Source organism: Homo sapiens, chromosome 1 (genome assembly GCF_000001405.40).
Source record: "Homo sapiens chromosome 1, GRCh38.p14 Primary Assembly".
NCBI classification, from domain to species: Eukaryota; Metazoa; Chordata; class Mammalia; order Primates; family Hominidae; genus Homo; species Homo sapiens.
In genome coordinates this window covers 119,246,127-119,268,134 of record NC_000001.11, presented here as the reverse complement: position 1 = coordinate 119,268,134, position 22,008 = coordinate 119,246,127, and the positions used below count along the sequence as shown (strand labels likewise).

Sequence of the window (22,008 nt, the reverse complement as noted above, 5' to 3'; positions counted from 1 at the left end):
TCTCCTGCCTCACCCTCCCGAGTAACTGGGATTACAGGCATGCACCACCATGCTGGGCTAATTTTTGTATTTTTAGTAGAGACAGGGTTTCACTATGTTGGCCAGGCTGGTCTCGAACTCCTGACCACAAGTGGTCCGCCCGCCTCAGCCTCCCAAAGTGCTGGGATTACAGGCATGAGCCACTGCACCTGGCCCTCAACTCATTTTTTGAGGCCAGCATTAACCTCACACCAAAATCAGACATTATAAGAAAATAGAACTACAAACAAATATCCTCATGAATATAGATACAAAACACCAACAAAATATTAGCAAACCAAATTGTGTAAGATATTAAAATAATGATCTATCATGACCAAGTGGAAATTTTCCTTGAAATGCAATATTGTTCAACTTTTGAAAGTAAATCTATAGGGCTGGGCATGTTGGCTCACACCTGTAATCCCAGCACTTTGGGAGGCCAAGGCTGGCAGATCACTTGAGGTCAGGAGTTCAAGACCAGCCTGAACAAAATGGTGAAACCCTGTCTCTACTAAAACACAAAAAGTAGCTGGGCATGATGGTATGTGCCTGTGGTCGCAGCTACTCAGGAGGCTGAGACACAAATCTCTTGAACCCAGGAGACAGAGGTTTCAGTGAGCTGAGATCACGCCACGGCACTCCAGCCTGGGCAACAGAGCAAGACACTGTCTCAAAACAAAAACAAAAACAAAACAAAACAAAAAGAAAGTAAATCAATAGGATTTACCATATCAGCCAAACTAAACGAGAAAAGCCATACCATCCTCTCACAAGATGCAGAAGGATGGTTTGACAAAATTCAACAACTATTCATGAAAACTCTAAGCAAACTAGGATTACAGGTTGAGACTTCCTTAACCTCATAAAGGGCATCTTTGAAAAACCTATAGTTAATATCATAACTAATGATGAAAGACTGGGTACTTTCCCCCTAATATCAGAAAAAAAGGTAAATATGTTCACTCCTATTACTTCAGTTCAACATCGTACTGAAAGTCCTTGTCAGTGCAGTAAGGCAAGAAAAAGTAATAAAAGGCATACAGATTGCAAAGGGATAAACAAAACTGCCTCTATTCACAGATGACATCACCTATGTAGAATCTACATAGAAACTTAGGTTTTAGTTGCTTTTCTTCCCGTTCTGTCTTTTTTTTTTTCTCTTTTGTAGAATTGGTGTAATATTTTCCTTAAATGTATGCTAGCGTTCACCAGTGAAGCATCTGGAGTTGTTTTGAGGGATGGTTTTAAACTATAAATTCAAATTTTAAAGTAAATGTAAGACTGTGTAGCTTATCTTGAGTAAGTTTTGCTAATTTGCATCTTTCAAAGACTTTATCCATTTCATATAAGTTGTCAAATTTTTGGTGTAAAATTGTTTATAATTTTTTTGTTATCCTTTTAATATCTCCTTTGTTCAGAGCAGCAGTTCAAATCACAGTCAAACTCTAAACTTCACTCGATGGCTTGGCATCTGTCCCATATGAGAGCAGCTCAAAGGTCAGTAAGAGATGTGGGCAGATGGGGATCCCCCTTTAGTCTCTATTCTTTTGGGGATTTCCTCTTAATTTTCTTTGTGCTGTGGTTGCCCCATACTCTGGTTCTTCTAGCCAGTAATATGTGGGGTTTATATGGAGCTTTAGCCATTCTACATAGTGCAGGCTAGAACCTGCCTTGGCCTAAAAGCTGTAAAATCTAAAAACTCATCAATGCCATTTTCTTCTTTCATATATTGGCTTCTTCCAGCATCTTCCTGCTTTTAATCACTCTCCAGTGTCTTCAGATACTGTTTTTAAAAATATATTTTGTCCTCTGTGTGTGTATATAATTTTTTATGTAGATTGATCTGATAAAAGATGCTCAGATCTTACTGGAGATGAAATCTCCATTGCTTTTTATTTTTAAACCACTACCACTAAGACTCCAAAATTATCAACTCTTTTCCATATGAAGTATAATCCATTTATAAAGAACAAGATTGTGAGGAAAATCTTTCACAGATCCTATAAGTCTGAGATAAATCACCCCAATAATTTCAGATCCTGTAGCATTTTCTTGAGTCTGCTTGAAATTGTAGGTATCAAACAATAAACCAGGAATCCCATACCCTTCCTGGCTTTTAACAGGGCAAAAGTTTGAGTCCTCACTTTATTACACTTTGTACATCATGCTTTCATATGTGACAGTGCAGGGAATACTTACGTCAGATAAAAATTTATTTTACATAAAGATTTTTGCCCTGAATCCTCCTTCCTTTCCTATCCTACTGAGCTAAGCTGGAAAACCTAAAAAGATATATGAGGGTCTCTTTAATACTTTTTCCTTAAGCCCAGTGGAAATGCTACACTATCAGCAACTTGCTTTTCTCTTCCAGGATGTCCTGGTTCCTTTTATCTTCCAGGCCATCAAAAAGTCCCAGAACTTTGATCATGCTTAGATTTTAAAAAAATCTCCTAGATAAAAGAGCTAGCTAAGTGAGGGACAAGTGGAGTAAAATCCTTTCTCTTGGGAGGTTGAAGCAGGAGGATCACTTGAGCTTAGGAGTTCAAGTCCAGTCCAGCCTGGGAAACATAGAAAAACCCTGTCTTTTTTTTTTTTTTTTTTGAGACAGAGTCTCACTATGTTGCCCAGGCTGGAGTGCAGTGGCATGATCTTGTCTCATCGCAACTTCTGCCTCCTGGGCTCAAGAGATCCTCCCACCTCAGCCTCCCTAGACTACAGGTGCACGTCAGCACTCCCAGCTAATTGTATTTTTTGTAGAGACAGGGTTTTGCCATGTTCCCCCAGCTGATCTTGAACTCATGAGCTCAAGCGATCTGCCCGCCTTGGCCTCCCAAATTGCTGGGATTCCAGGTGTGAGCCACCACGCCCAGCCAACTGTATATATATAGCCAGCTGCAGTGGCTCACGCCTGTAATCCCAGCACTTTGGGAGGTCGAGGCAGGTGGCTCACCCGAGGTCAGAAGTTCAAGACGAGCCTGGTCAACATGGTGAAACCCCGTCACTACAAAAATTACAAAAATTAGCCGGGCGTGGTGGTAGGGGCCTGTAATCCCAGCTACTCAGGAGGCTAAGGCACAAGAATCGCTTGAATCTGGGAGGTGAAGGTTGCAGTGAGCCAAGATCACACCACTGCACTCCAGCCTGGGCAACAGAGCAAGACTCTGTCAAAAAAAAAAAAAAAATATATATATATACACACACACACACACACACACACACACACACATACTTTTATGTAGATTGATCTGATAAAAGATGCTCAGATACGTATATATATATGTGTATATATACACATATACATATACATATATACGTATATATACACACATATATACATTTACATATACACATATATACACATATACACATAAACACATATATACACATATGTGTATATATATACACACACATATGTGTATATATATACACACACATATGTGTATATATATACACACACATATGTGTATATATATACACACACATATGTGTATATATATACCTCATACCCTACACACCAAACATACAAATGTCCCTGTAGTTTCCTGAAAACACCAGGTGGTTCAGGCCTGCCATCTCCATACCTGAGCTGCCAGTTCTTTCACCCTCATCTCTGTGCACCTTGCCAACACATACTCACATACAGAATCTCACCTGGACCCCCCACCCTCAGCCAAAACTGATCGTTCCTTCTTTTGTGAATCCTGACACACACGTGTATATATATACATACACATATGTGTGTGTGTGTGTGTATATATATATATATATATATATATATATATATATAACCCTTTCTCTATGGTAGGGCATCACTCTACGTCTTTATCTATTCTTCCTTTCGATTATCAGTAAATAAAATGCTTATTTATGCACAGACATCTTGATAGGCAAAGGAGAGTTGATAACTCAGGAATAGTCCTTGCCCCCAGGTCCCTTTCATTTAACTCTGTAAATAAAAAATGCAGCAGCATGTTACAGGCTTTATGCTAAAGATGTGGACAGTGTCAGGATTCACAAAAGAAGGAACGATCAGTTTTGGCTGAGGGTGGGGGGTCCAGGTGAGATTCTGTATGTGAGTATGTGTTGGCAAGGTGCACAGAAATGAGGGTGAAAGAACTGGCAGCTCAGGTATGGAGATGGCAGGCCTGAACCACCTGGTGTTTTCAGGAAACTACAGGGACATTTGTATGTTTGGTGTGTAGGGTATGAGGTATGATAGAAGGGGAGGCTGGGGAGGGAGGAAACATGAAGGGCTTTGTTACATGGTTAAAGAGTTTGGACTTCATTTTGTAGAGTATACTGAACTGTGAAAAATGTCTTAATCAGGATAATAGCAGGATTATCTCTATGTTTTAGGACATGTATTTATTTCTGTATGTTCTTGATGCTTGTCAGGGTCCCTCCCTAAGGAGTTGGTCTGAGAGGTAAGAGATAGGATCACAGGGAGGAGACATGGTCAACCATCCGGTCTAAAATTAGACTACAGTCATCTATTGTGTGCTACACTGAGCCTCTTTTCATGCCAGATATGGTCTGGGGACCAGACCTGTTTGGACATGGCTTGGGTGAGAAACTGGTTGCCTTTTCCAAAGATGATTTGGATTTCAAGAGGAAAATCACAGCATCAGAGTTCCAAGCAAAGGGGCACTGTAGGCCAGCAAGACTGTGCAAAACTTAAAGCTGCAAAACAACCAGAATTAAGTCTACCTGAGAACATCGCTGGGAAGAAAATTGAGGCCATAGGTATAGCTGGAAATAAAATTGAGAAGTGTTACCATACTGCTACTGCTTAAAAAGCAGAAAGAAAAGAATAAAGATGAATTCAATCTCTTCCTGAAAGCAGGACTTAAGGGGTCCAGGCATGATGCTTGGAGCTCTAAAATGAGCATAATAATGGAAAGTTGGGAGCTGCATGCAAATGGCACAGGAGAAATGTGTTTTTCCACAAGTCTACCTTTTCTTCTCAGGATCTGAAGGTCCCCACCAAAATCAGGGCAGCTTCTACAATAATGGGCTTAGGAAAGAGTTAGGCAGATATTCTCAAACTGTCTGTGGCTCACTGAGCCTCAGGCCAGTCTTAGCTAGTAATGACATTTATAATGTGACAGTGCCTAAACCACTTGCCTGAAATAAACTATAACATGGCAGTTGATTAAAACTATGACTTACCTCACCGGGGTCTTTTCAGAAGCAACCCCATCAGAAGCTGAATCTGTAAGGAGAGAGAGATTAGGAGGCCAAGGTCATAGGTTTATTCCCTGTATGGGTCACTTCATTCTGCTCTGCAATCCCATATCTCCTGTGACTTCCCCCAAGATAGGTTAAATGCCCTTTCCAAATGCTCTCCTAGAACCCTCTACCTATCCTATTACAGCACATGTTATAATTTACTGGACCTGCTATTTAATTTTCTTTCTTTCCCGTCAGAAGGGAGTGAGGGAAGCCACCGAGTGGAGGTTTCTTTCTGCAATGGCAGCATGTGTGTGGCATGGTGGGAAGCTCTGAACCCAGAACACCTGCTTCCAAGTCCTTGCTCTACCACTGAATAGTTTGAAATTGAACCTGTTTCTTCAACAATAAAGAGGAAATAATGGCACTTATTACATGCCATTATTAATGAGCCAATGAAAGTAAGGATTCTTTACTAAGGGCTATTTGGATGTTAATTAATCATAATATTAACCAGTCTTGAGACTGTCCTAGCAGATGTATCTGATCCCACCTAGCAGGGTGGGTGCGATTGAGGTGGCAGAGGTATGGGGAGGGCATTTCTGAATGAAACTGATAGTACAGAAGAGGGAAGAGGAGGGGAGCAAGTAGGGGCACAGGGCGTAAGCAGTGGAAAGACAAATGAAAAGGAAGAGAGAAAGGAAAATGAAGAGGGTTCCAGAGCTGTGCTGTTGAATACAGTAGCAGTAAGCCCCATGTGGCTATTAAGCTAGTTCAAATTGAGATGGGCTGCTAGAGTTGTTATAAAAAAAATGAAAAATGGCTCATTGATAATGTTTATGTGACATGCATGTGAAATTACAATATTTTTGATATATTGGGTTAAATAAAATATAGTATGAAAATTAATTTTATCTATTTAATTTTACTTATTTTAATGTGGCTACTAAAAAATGTAAAAGTATGTATGTGGCTTGTATTTGAGGCTTGTGCTACATTTCTATTGGGCAGTATTACCCTAGGGTATTTGCTGTCCGTGAAATAAGTGATAAGGAATATAAAAATTTTTTAGAATTTGGCTTTTCAAAGTAAAGTCAGGGTACATGTAAAAATTGAATTTATCTCACAAATTTATCCATTTTTAAAGTTAATTTCACTGACATGCTTTAAACATCTGTTCTGTGCCAAGGACTGAGTACAACACAGGCCAAGCCCTTCAGGAGCTTACACTGTAACCATAGATGAGGATGGGAGAGTCTCTTGTAGCTCACAGTATTCCATGGTCATCAAGAAAGTGTTTGACTGACTCTAATTCAGTGTCACCAGACTAGGGGTCCCCAAATGTATCTTCAGGTTAAGAACAAACAACATGATGCCAGGAAATCTAACTTGGTTTGAATGTTTTTCTTCTTGCTGCTGCCAGGCTGCCTTTGAGTGTTTCAATGTCGCATGTGGACTTAGATGAAGGGCAGGCTTTCGGGAGCTGTATTAGCTGAATCTGTAAGGAGATAGTGCTTAGGAGGCCAAGGTCATAAGTTTGTTCCCTGTATGGGTCACTTCACTCTGCTCTGATCCATGCCTCAGACTTGCTCCCTGTAAACCCAAGCCAGCTGTCTTGTAAATATGCTTTGAATCACTTGGGGAACAGGGCGAGAACATATGCAGGGAGCTGGGCAAATCTATCACCACCGATGGATTGGAGCAACAACTGAAAACACATTCTCAGTCAAAAGCAAGGAATCCCGGGAGGAGAGCCCATAAAACTTACATATCACCTCATACAGTGGACCCAACTGAAACCAACTTTTCCCTGCACATTTCTGCCTGAAGTCATTAACTAGGATGGAGCTTGTAGGGCAACGCTTCTGGAGGCCATAGTTCCTCGATAGAGCAGAACACAGGCAGCATTCACTGGGAATTCAGACTTCTGCTAAAGGTGGTGTTGCCAACAAGCACACGGGGCCTCCCTGTTTGACCTACAGAGATTGTTTAGACTTGGAAATATGGGCACCTATCTCTTGAGTGACCTGTCTGCTGGTAATATTTACATCCACATTCACACAGAAAGGTGGTATGTTTTAATTCCAAGCTGAGATTCAGCCCCATGCTCCTCACTGAAGCATCGCTGACAGAAAGGCTGGTCTGGGATCTCCAGCTACACAAATAAATACTGAAGTAAGGCCTAACAGGAAGACCCTCACTACCCAATTTCTTCCAGATGGCAGTGATGGATGGCTGTATGTTTATGTTTACTTGGTTTCCCAGGTGACTGGTGTCCTGGTTTCCACCGGTCATGGTTTGATGAGCATTTCTTCGAAGATGTGAACTGCCTACCCCAACGGCCCAGCTCTTGGCCCAACAGTCTACACCACGCTCAAGATTGTCAAGAGGTCATTGTGCTTGTTGGATGGCTAGTTAACTCTTTACTCACCACTTCTTCCCTGACCCTCTTCTTGTAAATTTCTAAAACTAGCAATACAAGATTCAAATCTAAATCATCATACAGAACTGCATGTTGGGCAGAATAATGGCCTCCAAAGTATCCATGTCCTAATCTCCAGAACCTGTAAACATGTTACCTTTCTTGGCAAAAGGGAATTAAATTTGCAGATAAAATTAAGGTTGCTAATCGCCTGACCTTAAAGTAGAGAAACCAGCCTGGATTATCTAGGTGGGCCCAATGTAATTACAAGTCTCCTTTAAAGGGGAAGAGGGAAGCAGTAAAGATGGTCAGAGGATGAGATGTAAGAGGGACTCGACCTGCCCTTGCTGAAGGAAGGGGGCCATGAGCCACAGTAGTGTCCTCTAGAAGCTCTAAAAGTCAAGAAGAGAATTCTCCCCTAAAGCCTTCTGAAAGGAACTCTGCCCTGCTGATGCGTCAGTCTTAGCCCGGTGAGATGCATGGTAGACTACTAATGGAACTGTAAGGTAATACATGTGTATCAATTTATGATAACTGCTTATAATAATTTGTTATAGCCACAGTAGAAAACAAATATACACCTAGATAGGTTGAACACTCCTTGGCCTCAACACTCTGCTTAATGTAAGAAGTACTCCTTCCCTTAGCACAATGTAACCTAGTGGAATGCATTCTTCCTCAGGGCTGCTAGAGGCTGGAGCACACACATGGCTTTCTACAAAATTTAGGAAAGTGAGCAACGATGGAACCCTAATTGGAGAAAATATGTAATCACTCATCAAGTCCTCTTGGTACTATCTGAGTAGAGAGAAAGCACATGGGCTTTGGCATCTAGCAGACATTGGTTCAAATCCTGGCTCTGACATTTAATGCCTGTGTGATCTTGAGTGAGTTAGCCTCCCAGATGTTCAATTTCTTAAGGGACACATCACACCTACCTCATGGGGTTGTTGTTGTAAAGAGTAAAAGAGTAAATAAAATAAGGTGTATAAAGTACCTATCTCAGAGCCTGGGGGGCAAGATAGAAATCCAATAAATCATGTTATCTTCTACCTTCTTTGTAATCATTTCTCAGATCTCTCCTGTTGTCTCCAATCTCATGACCCTGGATTGAGTTAGTTTCATCATATCTCTTGCCAGGACTGTTTTAACAGCTCCTAAAGGGCCGGCTCCAGACTCCAATCCTTCTTCACAGCCTCTACAGCTATCTTCCTAAAACATAGATTTTCTCATAACACCTCTTCTGCTGTAAAACCGTCAGCAGCTCCCTGTGGCTTGTGGATGAAAAAGTCTGAAGTTCTTTTCAAGGTTCGCGTGTATATTAGTCTGTTTGCGTTACTCTAAAGGAATATCTGAGACTGGATAATTATTTTTTTGTTTAGGTAAGGCAGATAATGTGCTGATGTAACAAGGTTCAAGGGTGGCATATCTCATACATGCTCATGAACAGCCAATCATCACACTCTTGAACTACAAAAGAATTGGGTAACATAAAGAAAAGAGGTTTATGGCCGGGCGTGGTGGCTCACGCCTGGAATCCCAGCACTTTGGGAGGCTGAGGGGGGCAGGTCAGAAGGTCAGGAGATCGAGACCATCCTGGCTAACATAGTGAAACCCTGTCTCTACTAAAAATACAACAAATTAGCTGGGTGTAGTGGCAGGCGCCTGTAGTCCCAGCTACTGGGGAGGCTGAGACAGGAGAATGGCGTGAACCCGGGAGGCGGAGCTTGCAGTGAGCCAAGATTGTGCCACTGCACTCCAGCCTGGGCGACAGAGCAAGACTCCATCTCAAAAAAAAAAAAAAAAAAAAAAGAGGTTTATTTTGGCTCACAGTTCTGTAGGCTATACAGGAAGCTTGCTGCCAGCATCTGCTTCAGGTGAGGACCTCCAGAAGCTTCCACTTAAGGTGGAAGGCCAAGGGGGACCTGGCATGTCACAAGCCAGAGAGGGACCAAGAGTGAAAATGGGGAGGTCTCAGACTCTTTTAAACAACTAGATCTTGAATGAACTGAGTGAGAACTCACTCATCACCAAGGGGATGGTGTTAAGCCATTCATGAGGGATCCATCTCCATGATCCAATACCTCTCACCAGGCCCCACCTCCAACATTGGGGATTACATTTCTTTTTTTTTTTTTTTTGAGACAGAGGCTCACTCTGTCACCCAGGCTGGAGTGCAGTGGCGTAATATCGGCTCACTGCAAGCTCCACCTCCGGGGTTCACGCCATTCTCCTGCCTCAGCCTCCTGAGTAGCTAGAACTACAGGTGCCTGCCACCACGCCTGGCTAATGTTTTATATTTTTCGTAGAGACAGTGTTTCACCGTGTTAGCCAGGATGGTCTCGATCTCCCGACCTTGTGATTCACCCACCTTGGCCTCCCAAAGTGCTGGGATTACAGGCGTGAGCCACTGTGCCTGGCCGGGGGATTACACTTCAACATGAGGTATGGAAGGGACACACACCCAAACTGCATCAGTATGAATCCTTCACAACTTCACCTTTGTCCCTTGCCTCCTTTACCTGTCTAGCCTAAGTTCCTTTCTTGTCATGCGTTTTTCTCATTTCTGTGCCAATGTTTTTTTTTTTTTTCTTTTCAGCTTAGTTGCTATTTTCTATCTCTGTAATTCCTGCTGCCTCCCTTTTTACCTAGAGAGCTCCTTTTAACTCTTAAGGCCCATTTTAAATGTCACCACTTTTGCAAAGTCTTTTCTAATTCCTCCAAGAAGTTAAGCACTCCCTCTGCTGTTTCCACCATATTATGTACACTGTAGAACTTATCAGACTGCACTTTGATTATCATTCTAAATTTTCTGATGACAGAGACAATGCATTTTGCACCTTTGCTCTCAAAGCTTAGAATATTTGCTTTCCTTATAACATATACTCAATATAAAAATATACTTAATATTTGTTTTTATTAGTATGAATAAATGAATGAACAAATATTATGTGAAGAACTCACATCTTTAAAGCTGTTTCCAAGGAATGGAGTTATACTTTTTGCATCCCAGGTTAGCTGACCCAGGATGGCCCTTCTGCGATGTTGTGCATACAGCGAGACTTCTAACATACTTGGATTATTGAGCAACTTCGCATTTATTCAGTAAGGTTTTAAGGATTTTAGTCAGGTCACTTTTTCATTTAAAATTATTTAGTTGTTTCTCCTTGCTTTAGGAGAAAGTCCAAAGTCCTTAGGAGGCTATTTAAGGCCTTAGGTGATTTGACACCTACATATCCCACTTTTTAATTTGCTGACTACTCTGCACTCCAACAAAACATTTGTAAAACAATTTCTTAAACATGTCTGGCCTTCACTCTCATCTCCATGCCTTTGCAAATACCATTCCTTTACCCATACCTCAATCTTCATCTAACAACTTCTTACCCTTAGAAATGAAGCCCAGGCATCCTTTGATCCAGGCATCCTTTGATACAGGAAGTCTTCTCTGACATTACCCTTGTCTATCCTGGTTCAGATGCCTGTCCTTTGTATCCCATGAACCCACCACCTCTATCATACAACATATGGCAGTGTGCTTTTAACTTTTTAATTTATTTTATTTAAATAATAGGAATGTAGCCACATAGAAAAAGAGAGAGAGAGGTAGAAAAAGAAAAGTAAAACATGTCATACCACCACCAACAGATCTTTGTGCCCAACTATTAACACTTTCTGGTTAACTTTCAGAAAAATTATTTATGTATCTATCACTCTACGTTACCCATAATCTTTTTTATTTATAAATAAGATAATATTAAATATGCTACTCTGCATCTTGCTTTCTTCACTTATATGAGAAAACATTTTTATCCCAACACATAGACATCTACTTTAAGATTGTAATGGCTGGCCAGGCTCACTGGCCTACACCTGTAATCTCAGCAGTTTGGGAGGCTGAAGAGGGCGGATCACCTGAGGTCAGGAGTTTGAGACCAGCCTAACCAACATGGTGAAACCCCATCTCTACTAAAAATAAAAATTAGCCGGGCATGGTGGCAGGCGCCTGTAATCTCAGCCACTTGGGAGGCTAAGGCAGGAGAATCACTTGAACCTGGGAGATGGAGGTTGCAGTGAGCCGAGATCAGAGCATTGCACCCCAGCCTGGGCAACAAGAGCAAAACTCCATAAAAAAGGAAGAAAAAGAAAGAAAGAGAGAAAGGCAGGGCAGGGCAGGGCAGGGCAGGGCAGGGCAGGGCAGGGCAAGGCAAGGCAAGGCAAGGCAAGGCAAGGTGGAAGGAAAGAAGGAAGGAAGAAAGAAAGAAAGAAGGAAAGAAAGAAAGAAAGAAAAAGAAAGAAAAAGAAAGAAAGAAAGAAAAGAGAAGAAAAGAAAAGAAAAGAAAAGAAAAGAAAAGAAAAGAAAAGAAAAGATTGTAATGGCCAAGGAGTTCAATACCAGCCTGGCCAACATAGTGAAACCCTGTCTCTACTGAAAATACAAAAATTAGCCAGGCGTGCTGGCAAGTACCTGTAATCTTGGCTACTCCATAGGCTGAAGCATGAGAATGGCTTGAACCCAGGAGGCTAAGATTGCAGTGAGCCGAGATCACGCCACTGCACACCAGCCTGGTTGACAGAGCTAGCTAGACTCTGTCTCAAAAAAATGTATATATATAGTAATGGCCAAATAGTATTCCTGTAGCAATAAAGCAGTAACTTTAATGAATAATTAAATAAAAGCAATAAAAGATAACTGTAGCAATAAATAACTTTATTTAATGATAAAATTGATGAATACTCAGGTTATTTTCAATTTTTACAATACTGTCCATCTTAGGTTACATTTGTAAGTATATATTTAGGATAAATTCCTAGTAGTGCATCAAAGGACATTTAAAATTTTAAAATATGTTGCCAAGTTGTACTCCAAAAATTTTGCACCAATTTAAATTCCCACCAACAGTATACAAATGTGTTTATTTTAATCTTTTCTTTCCAACCCCACATATAGCAGAACTTTCTAGTGTTTCCCTTTTTGATGAAATGTCTCTTTGCTGTTTTGATTGCATTTAAGTATTTTCAGTCAGGTTGAGAATCTTTTCATATATTTCAGGTCATTTGTTGTATTAGTCAGGGTTCCCTAGACAGACAGAACTAATGGGACAGACGTATATAAAAAGGGGACTTTATTAAGGACTATTGGCTCATATGATCACATTGTGAAGTCCCACAATGGGCTGTGTGCAAGCTGAGGGGCAAGGAAGCCAGTCGGAGTCCCAAAACCTCAAAAGCAGGGAAGCCAACAGTGTAACCTTCAGTCTGTGGCCTGAGGCCTGAGAGCTCCAAGCAAGTCACTGATGTAAGTCCAAGAGTCCAAAAGCTGAAGAACTTGGAGTCTGATGTTTGAGGACAGGAAGCATCCAGCATGGAAGAAAAATGAAGGCCAGAAGACTCAGCAAGTCTGCTCATTCCACATTCCTCTGCCTGCTTTATCCTAGCCGCGCTGGCAGCTGATTAGATGATGCCCACCCAGATTGAAGGTGGGTCTGCCTCTCCCAATCCACTGATTCAAATATTAATCTCCTTTGGCAACACCCTCACAGACACATCCAGGAACAATACTTTGTCTCCTTCAATCAAGTTAACACTCAATATTAATCATCACATTTGTATTTTATCTTTTTCTGAGAACTACCTGTTTATATTACTTGCATGTAGTTATTGTTTTCTTTTCTTTTCTTTTTTTTAATTTGGTAAAACTTTTTGAAAATTAAGTAGCCATTTATCTGTCACATTTATTTTGAACAACCAATGTAGTATTTGTCCTTAGACTTTGGCTATGGATTTTTTTATTTTTTATTTTTTTGCCATATAAATGTTTTAAATTTTAAGTTCTTAAAATTTCCTTTTTGGCTTCTGGGTGTGCTGTGTATTGAATGTATTTTCTTGGCTGCTTTTGTTTACCTATTAACAGGAGGACCTTTCAGTCACCTTTGTATTCCCAGTGCTTAGCAGAGGGACCTGCCCATAGACCACTGGATACCAATGGAATGAGGAGATGAGTAAGTGTGAGCACACATGCTCCTACTGGCATAGATTGACATGTTGCCAAAATAAAACAAAAACCAGGCTGACAACAGTTTGAAAACGTCTCTGGGATTTTCATGGGCACATGACGAGCAGTTACTTGATTTTAATTCCCACAAGCAGGCCAGAGTACATGATTCTGTGTGGCTCCCACTTACCTACAAACTTTACCAGTTTTACCACCACCTCTATATCCTTTAGTCCATGTTCAAGGATCCAGGTTCAATAACCTAAAGTGTGTGGGCCAGGTAACAGGGTAATTGAGCAAGAAATTAGAGCTGGGCTCTCACAGAATAGAATTCAGGTCACGTTTTTGTCCACTTGCCCAGCCAAAATTGCCTTTGACAAAAGCAGAAAATTTCCATCTTTTTTTTCTTTTCAGTAAGGCCCTTTTTCCCTTAATAGATAGTTACATATGTAGATAGATAGACAGATAATCTGTCTAGAGCTACATATTTATCTACATATCCACAAACATAAATACATATAATAATGAATTATTATCACTATGTAGAGATATCCAACGATTTCTATTAGGGAAATAAATCTTTTATTGAAGTTCAGAGAGAAAAGCAATCTTTCCTTTCAGAGTTTCAAGGCAACCAATGAACAATTTGTGATTCTAATGCGAAAATGAATATACATTTTATAGATTCTCCTGGAAATTTAAACTGGTTATATACTAGACTGTGACTATTTATATTATTTTTTCTTACTTACAAAATCATATCTTAAAATGCAGAAAACACATTAGTATTATTTCACTCATGCCATGTAATAATAACAACAAAAATAATATTTGTACAATATATTACAGTGTTCATTTGTAGGCACTTTCTTGTTTACCAATCTCAACAAAATGGTAAGACAGGAATTATTACTATTGTCTCTTTCATTTTTGTGTGACTCATGCAAACATATACTCTTGGTAAGATGAAATACGAACCTTGGCTGACTCCAAATGTAATGTTTTTCCTGATAAAACACTAGGGTAAAAAAAAGCAGTGTGTTTTCTTTATGTAGTCCTTTTACCTCTCCTCCCTAGCATTAGTTAGGTAGGAAATTCAGAATTGGGATTCAAAGGGAGAATGTCCATTCATGCCAAAAGATTACTTTAAGAGGCATGAAGAAATGAAAAATATATAAGGAATTTTATTACAATATGCTACAGCCACCATATACCTCAGTCCATGTTCAAGGATCAAGATTCAATAATCTAAGCCATGTGGGCCAGGTAATGGGGTGGTAGAGCAAGAAATCAGAGATGGGCTCTAAGAGATTAGGATTCAGGTCAGATTTTTGCCCACTCACCAGTCTAAAATTGCCTCCAATAAAAGCAGAAAATTCCAACCACGCCCCCCCGCCCCCCACCCCCCACCCCCACCTCAGGTGTTTGCTTTACTGAAGGCAAGAAGTCCTGGGTCCTAAGGAGATCCTGTGTCTGCTCTTAAAAGCTGGCAGGGCTAAGAGGGCCAGACAGTCTTAATTGAGAATTTCTTAACTTAATTGAGGTTGGGTTTCAATTCCAGTCTTGGAAGAAGCCGTATCTCTCTAACCATCTCCCTTGTCAATGCACAAATCTCACCCCGGCCTGCTTGTTGAGAAGCATGAGAAGAAAGGTCCTTAACTATGCAAAGCCATGGTTCTGATCCACACTGTATGGTTTAAAAGAAATTTAAGTTTACTCCTGGACTCTTTCCACATGTTCTTGATATATCATGAATTACAAAATAAATAAAAATCCTCATTTGGAGAGGTCAGTGTCCAAGCAAACTAAGAGAGACAGATTGGCTCAAGCTGGTGGCCCTCCATTTTCCTGCATATAGTTATAACTTAAGAAATACATACCACTTTAGACAGGTTGCTTCCAAAGTATAGAGGCTGTTAGAAACCACAGCACTGTGACTCCGGCATGACATTCTCACTGATTTCTCAGTCATCTCACCAGGATTCTCACGTGAAATTGAGAACAACTTCTTCCCCAACGGCAAGTGCCCCGTACGTGGGGAACTTCTGTTTTTTGGTATCCCTTCTCCCCAGCCCATCCTGGCCTCTTGACTGGCCATGTCAATGTTAAGACAGGATAATAGCAGCTTTGGAAGAGGATTGGGCAATGAAAGAAAGTGTAAGGAAAATGTCCAAATAGAGTCCCAGAAAAAAATCTGAGTCATAGAATTGGCCAGAATCTGACAGTAGGTAAACTCAAGAGAAGACACTCAAGTGGAACAGAGGCAGAAACAGAATCTATGGGCAAATCTAAGGTCTAAGTCATAAGGAGTTAATAAGGAAGCAAAGCACAGAAGTCAAGGTACAGAGATAGTAGTCACAATAGTCCAGTTAAATTCTAAAAAACAGCAGGGACGTCCTCTTTTAGAAGCCCTAGCTCCTTGACCTGTGGACATGACTCTTCACTTTGAGACCAAGGGTTGCAACCCTGAATTTCAGGAATAGAACAACAGCTGCCTGTACTGCAGCAGGAGCAACAATGATGCAAACATTGATTGGCTCTGCTGCCAGAGCATCACAAGTCCGGGAAACAGGTTGGTTCTGAAATGCCAGTGGTCAGGCCTGTGGGAAGAACTAGTAAGGAAACTCCAGTCATGGGAATCTCCAGGCTCTGTGTCCATGCTTGTATTCCTTGGCCTTACTACTACTGTCAGCTTTAGCTCTTTATTTTTCTTGTTCCTGGTTAAAATACTAGTTTAACGTTTTTCTTTTTGATTTTGTTTTGTTTTGTTTTTGAGACAGAATCTTGCTCTGTTGCCCAGGCTGGAGTGCAGTGGCATGACCTTGGTTCACTGCAACCTCCTTCTCCTGGGTTCAAGTGATTCTCCTCTTTCAGCCTCCCGAGTAGCTGGGACTACAGGCACACACCATCACGCCAAGCTAATTTTTGTATTTTTAGTTGAGATGGGGTTTCACCATGTTGGCCAGGCTAGTCTTGAACTCCTGACCTTAGGTGATCCACCTGCCTCGGCCTCCCTGCCTCGGCTGGGATTACAGGCGTGAGCCACTGTGTCCGGCCTCTTTTTGATTTTTAATTGTATTTTTTTAAAAAATTAAAAAAGTACTGCATGATCATTGTAAAACTTCAAGTAACTTAAGAGTATACAAAATACAAAGCAAGAGTGCCATTCTCACACTCTACTCTCACTCCCCAGTGGAAACCAATGGTAAAAATTAGACCTGTATACCTTTAGAATTTTTCAAGGTTATTATATTTTTGAGTATGGTCACTATATATATATATATATGTGTGTGTGTGTGTATATATATATGTGTATATATATATGTGTATATATGTGTGTATATATATGTGTGTGTGTATATATATATGTATTTATATATGTGTGTGTGTGTATATATATATATATATATATATATATATATATTTTTTTTTTTTTTTTTTTTTTTTTTTTGAGACAGAGTCTGGCTCTGTCGCCCAGGCTGGAGTGCAGTGGCGTGATCTCAGCTCACTGCAAGCTCCGTCTTTTGGGTTCACGCCATTCTCCCGCCTGAGCCTCCCGAGTAGCTGGGACTACAAGTGCCCGCCACTGCACCCAGCTAATTTTTTTTTTTGTATTTTTAGTAGAGACGGGGTTTCACCATGGTCTCGATCTCCTGACCTCATGATCCGCCTGCCTCGGCCTCCCAAAGTGCTGGGATTACAGGTGTGAGCCACCGCGCCTGGCCCCGTCACACTGTATATATTATACTGCAACTTCTTTTTTTTTTCTCATTCACATATTACAGATTCCATTCCATTTCAATATATATGTGTCTACCTTATTCTTGTTGATGGCTACATAGCAGTCATAGTAGAAATATGTAAAATGTATTAATCACCCCTCTATTAATTTGCTATTATAAATAATGTTGCCATGAACATTGTAATACAAGTATTCTGGCCCATTTGTACAAGGATTTCTATAGTATAAATTCTTAGAAGCAAATTGCTGAGTCAACAGGTATGTATGCACATTAAAATTTTTGATAGGTCCTGCCAAATTCCCTTCTTTGTTCCAGTTTATACTTTCACTAACAGTGTTTGTGAGACTCTTTCCTCCACACCCTAATCATCACTGGATGTTATTGCTTATTTCACAAACCAGAGTCTGATTTGATTTACAGTCCAGGCTTGGTAGCTACAGGCCTGGCACTAATCTTTTGGTTCTGAATGCTACCCCGGCAGGCTAGAAACCCTGGTGTAGGCTTCTTTTTCGTTTGTTTGTTTGTTGAGATGGAGTTTCACTCTAGTTGCCCAGGCTGGAGTGCAATGGCGTGATCTCAGCTTACCGCAACCTCTGTTTCCCGGGTTCAAGTGATTCTCCTGCCTCAGCCTCCCGAGTAGCTGGGACTACAGGTGCCCACCACCACACACAGCTAATTGTTTGTTTTTACTAAAGATGGGGTTTCACTGTGTTAGCCAGGATGGTCTCGATCTCCTGACCCATGATCCACCCGCCTCGGCTTCTTGACTTCTTCTTCTGCTACTACTACTCTTGCATACACTGGGGATTATAAAAAATTTGATACCAACAATTTCATACATTTTTCAGTTTACATAGTGTCTTCCCTATGTGAGGATTCCATTTGATCCTCACAAAGTTTCTGTTAGGTGTGTAGGGAGGAAATTTTTATCTTGGTGACTCAGACCAGCTTTCTTAAGTTCACATGGTTAATAAAGGAAAGAACTAGGACTTGAATACAAGTTGGCTAAGTTCAAAATCCAGGTTCTATTTGCCATTTCCCCTTCTTCCTCTTTGGAACAGATAACCATCAAAAAGTTTGTGTTTCTATCAATTGCTTTCTATTCATTTGAGATGTCCACGATCTCTAGAGAAGCTCAAGTTTGTTGATTGGTTGGATGGATATGGAGCTGCTGTAATTTGTGACTTAGACGTATCAATGTTGCTTATAAAAATGCTTTTACAATTTCAATATTCTGGCATATAACCCAAGATGACCCAGGGCAACATCTCCAGGAAAAGATGCCTGGCAGGGTGCCAAGAGGCCTCATGATGACCTTATCTAGTAAGTCTCAGTGCGGCAATTGGAACCAGACCTGTCAGACCCCAAAGCCTAAGCCTTTTGCATTTACTCTATGCACTTCCTCGTATAGACCAAGATGCTCAGGGCAGAAGATCAATGCATTCTTTCCTTACAGGCAAATTACACGAGAAGCCAAATTCTCAGAAGGTTGCATGCTGAGCATGGAATCAGAACAAGGAGAGTTCAGGGTGTCAAGAAGTGAATTTCAGCTCAAGTAGCTGAAGGCATGCTTACCCATTAGGGAGTCACACATTCAAAATCCAACAGATTCAGAAGAGTGTAACATAGATGAGTGAAGCGTGTCAGGGAGCAGGCGATGATAGGGAATAGTGGGGACTATGCCAACTGGAGAGTGCATGCCCTTCTAAAGGAGGCAGCCATGGCGTCATAGCTACAGCCCATTGTGGCCAGCCTGGTTAATCTAGGTTTTCCCAATTTTTCATGAAAGGCTCGATATATGGATTTTTCTATGTGAAATTAGTTAACAACTTATTCAACTTTAAAAAACAGTATGACTCAATGCAGTGTGGACCAGACTTGATCTACCAGCTGCTGAACCGTGAAGTTTTACTACGGGTAAACTTTCACCAAGAAAACTTCAATTCTCCAAGCCATTTAAAAATGGCATCTTCACCTCTAAACAAATCAAGATCAGCATTCTTCAGATCTTCCTTTTTCCCCTTTGGGGCCAACCTCTGTTTATGGTCATTCTCCAGATAGAATAGAACATATTTCTTTCTATTTCCTCATACTAAAATACACTTACATTTCAGTCATATCTTCTTGGAGGATTCCCATCTCAACTTTTGATTGGATTCACACTTACGTAGCATGACTTATTCCTTTGCATTTTTATTGCTACCATTATTATTTTTGGAGTTGTCATTCTTATGCTAGATGACTTTGCTGCATTGAGTGTGAATTTTACTAATTGACCTCTCAGAGACACACCAATTTCCAAGTCCTAAGAGGTCTTTCACTGCTGTTATATTGTGGGGACAACAAGATTATTTTGCCTTTTCAGACATTAAGAAATTGTTTTTAAGTAAATACATAACTTTATTGCCTTACAGATTATTATTTACTGAATGATTTATTCTCCTCAGAGAATTTGGCGAAGGAAGTGAACAGCTTATAGGAGAAGAAGGAGAGAATAGGGAAAGCTCTTCTAGATACCAAAACAAGCAAGAAGAGTTGGGCTGGATTTTAATTCAAAATAAAGTCTGAACTTTTCTTCCCCATCTCAGTGATGCTGAATTGACCCTCCTCCTCTCCAAATGGAGAGATGGCAGCTCCTGCCTTGTGGCACACGGTAGCCTTCAGGAACCTGAAACCATCACTGAAAAGTGCAGGAGGAGGGAAGGCACCCAGAGAATGGAAGGTAGCTCTGCCCTTCCTCAGGCACATCACATCATGCCAATCCATATACGACACTGTAACGCATCGGGTACATTTCCAGAAGAAATGAACTTATGAATTTCACAGCATTTGGGCACGGGGACTTCACCAACATCTTCAGTCATATTCATAATCAACTAAAAATACTATCTTCAGTTAACAAGTGTTGGTAACATTATAAAAGTATTATTTCTGAGACTAGTTCAATTTTTAAAATTCTTTTCTTTCTTTTTTATGTGTTCATTTTTCGTTATTTTTATTCTTTTAAAAAAATTTTTGATTCTCTTTTCCTTTTTTTAAATCTTTGATTTATTTTCTGTCTTCAAAATCTGTTCCCATGTAATTCAAAATTTACTAATCGGACTACCATCTTGCCTTTAGTGTTGAGAGATGACACACAATGACACATTACAAAATAGATGACATTCATCTAGAATCTAAATAGCTAAGAATCTAAAGCAACCAGATCTTTATCTCTCCCCCACATGGTCTTGTACAATGACACTGATGCCCACTCAAATGAGCCTGATACCTTCTAAGATTCTAAAATTTACCTGAATCATGATAAAGATTATTTTTGCTCTGTAAAGTGTGTCCATTGTTTTCACTGTATACCAATTCTTTGAAACTTAGAAATCCAAAATAAAAGACTTCCCAGTGCATCCTTAGCCAGAAAATTCCCCACATTTGCTTCTTGACAAGTCTACCAGATTATCCACAAATTTTGGGGGTTTCTACTCCTTAAACCCAGGTGGTGAAGAACATGGTTAAACAGACATGGGCTCAAATCTTGTCCACTTATACCTATAATCTTGGGCAAGTTGGTCAACTTTCTGAGTTCAATTTCTTTAAGTGAAAATTGAGAATAACAATATCTACCTCATAAAGTATTGGTGTGGGGATTAAATGAGGTAATGTGTAATAACTATATATATATATATATATATAAATAAAATAATCCTTTAATAAATGTTGCTGCCAACATCTTTTTCAACTCAATCACCTGTTAGAGGGCAAATCAATGACAATGAGGCATATCAAAATGCATTCTGCCCTGAAGGAACCCTCTCCTTTGCTGGAGAGAAGCTGCAAACACCCATGCAACATTGAGACCAATCTAAGACCCTTTGCAGGAAAGAGCTTAAGTGACCAGCATATGATGTCAGCATTGCAGGCACTGAGAGATATTCTTACTCGTCCATTTTCACCTGGTCTCTATTGCAGAGCTGCAGAACTGGGACAGAGGAGACCAAGCTCCCGATCTTCCTACCCAGTGTGCTTTACAACCTGCAAGCTGCAGGCTGAGCCTCACAGCCAGCCGGGGATAGTGGATACAATTATCTCCCAGCCCTTTGAAGCTCCAGTCAGGAATATCTGTCGTCACTATCACATGTGATTAGGACAGCAACGTCCTCTTGCAGAAGACATAACTCTTTGTACATCACCCTCCTTCCACCCCTGTTAGAGATCAGGAAGTGTGGAGAGAGGGTGGCTGGCCTCTCTCCTTTTGGTCCAATTTCACATATTGGATTCCCTGCATTAATAAATTGGTTACATTTGCCTAGCATTTGGCAGGCAAGGTTTCTAATAACATTCTGGTCCCTTCAGAGAACATGAATCGCTGGCATGCAGGGGGTTCTGTTTACCTCCTCCCCCACTCTCTGCTGCTAAAGGTCCTATACATTAGTAGGGGTCAGGCGCTTGCCTGGGCCAGGGCAGTCTAGGACAAGGGCCATGGCTTCAAGGCACTGTCACAGAGCTCAAAGATTTTCCCTCAGAGGGAAAACAGATAACTTTAAGCCCAGGCAACGTGCAGCTTTCTTCAGCTGTCAATCCTACCTGGTTTGCATACAGATTGAGAAAATGTGTGATATTTTACCACAATAATCAGTCTGGAGAATTCAAGGGGGTTGGTGGTG

General features: G+C 40.6%; 2 long non-coding RNA genes and 1 other non-coding gene across 3 annotated transcripts in view, besides 1 other annotated feature; 1 reads left to right on the top strand and 2 right to left on the bottom strand.

Moving 5' to 3' along the window:
- The window catches only part of WARS2-AS1 (WARS2 antisense RNA 1), a 135,578-nt gene that overhangs the window by 7,839 nt on the left and 105,731 nt on the right, over positions 1-22,008 (bottom strand). Inside the window, exons 5-6 of the long non-coding RNA NR_125975.1 lie at positions 6,419-6,688; positions 5,191-5,233 (exon numbers count right to left, since the gene is read on the bottom strand). This is a non-coding gene — a long non-coding RNA (WARS2 antisense RNA 1). The remainder of the gene's footprint in view (positions 1-5,190; positions 5,234-6,418; positions 6,689-22,008) is intronic.
- Positions 1,398-1,567: an enhancer, noted in NCBI's record as "active region_1591". NCBI's record gives its function as "activates an Ori minimal core promoter by ATAC-STARR-seq in GM12878 lymphoblastoid cells {active_cell/tissue: GM12878}" and the evidence as "EXISTENCE:reporter gene assay evidence [ECO:0000049][PMID:35858748]".
- Positions 8,994-9,094, bottom strand: LOC124904832 (small nucleolar RNA U13). The gene has a single exon (XR_007067428.1). It is a non-coding gene; the product is annotated as a small nucleolar RNA U13 (small nucleolar RNA).
- On the top strand, positions 12,194-19,932 carry LOC107985192 (uncharacterized). The gene is made up of 2 exons (XR_001738199.2): positions 12,194-13,614; positions 19,798-19,932. It is a non-coding gene; the product is annotated as an uncharacterized LOC107985192 (long non-coding RNA).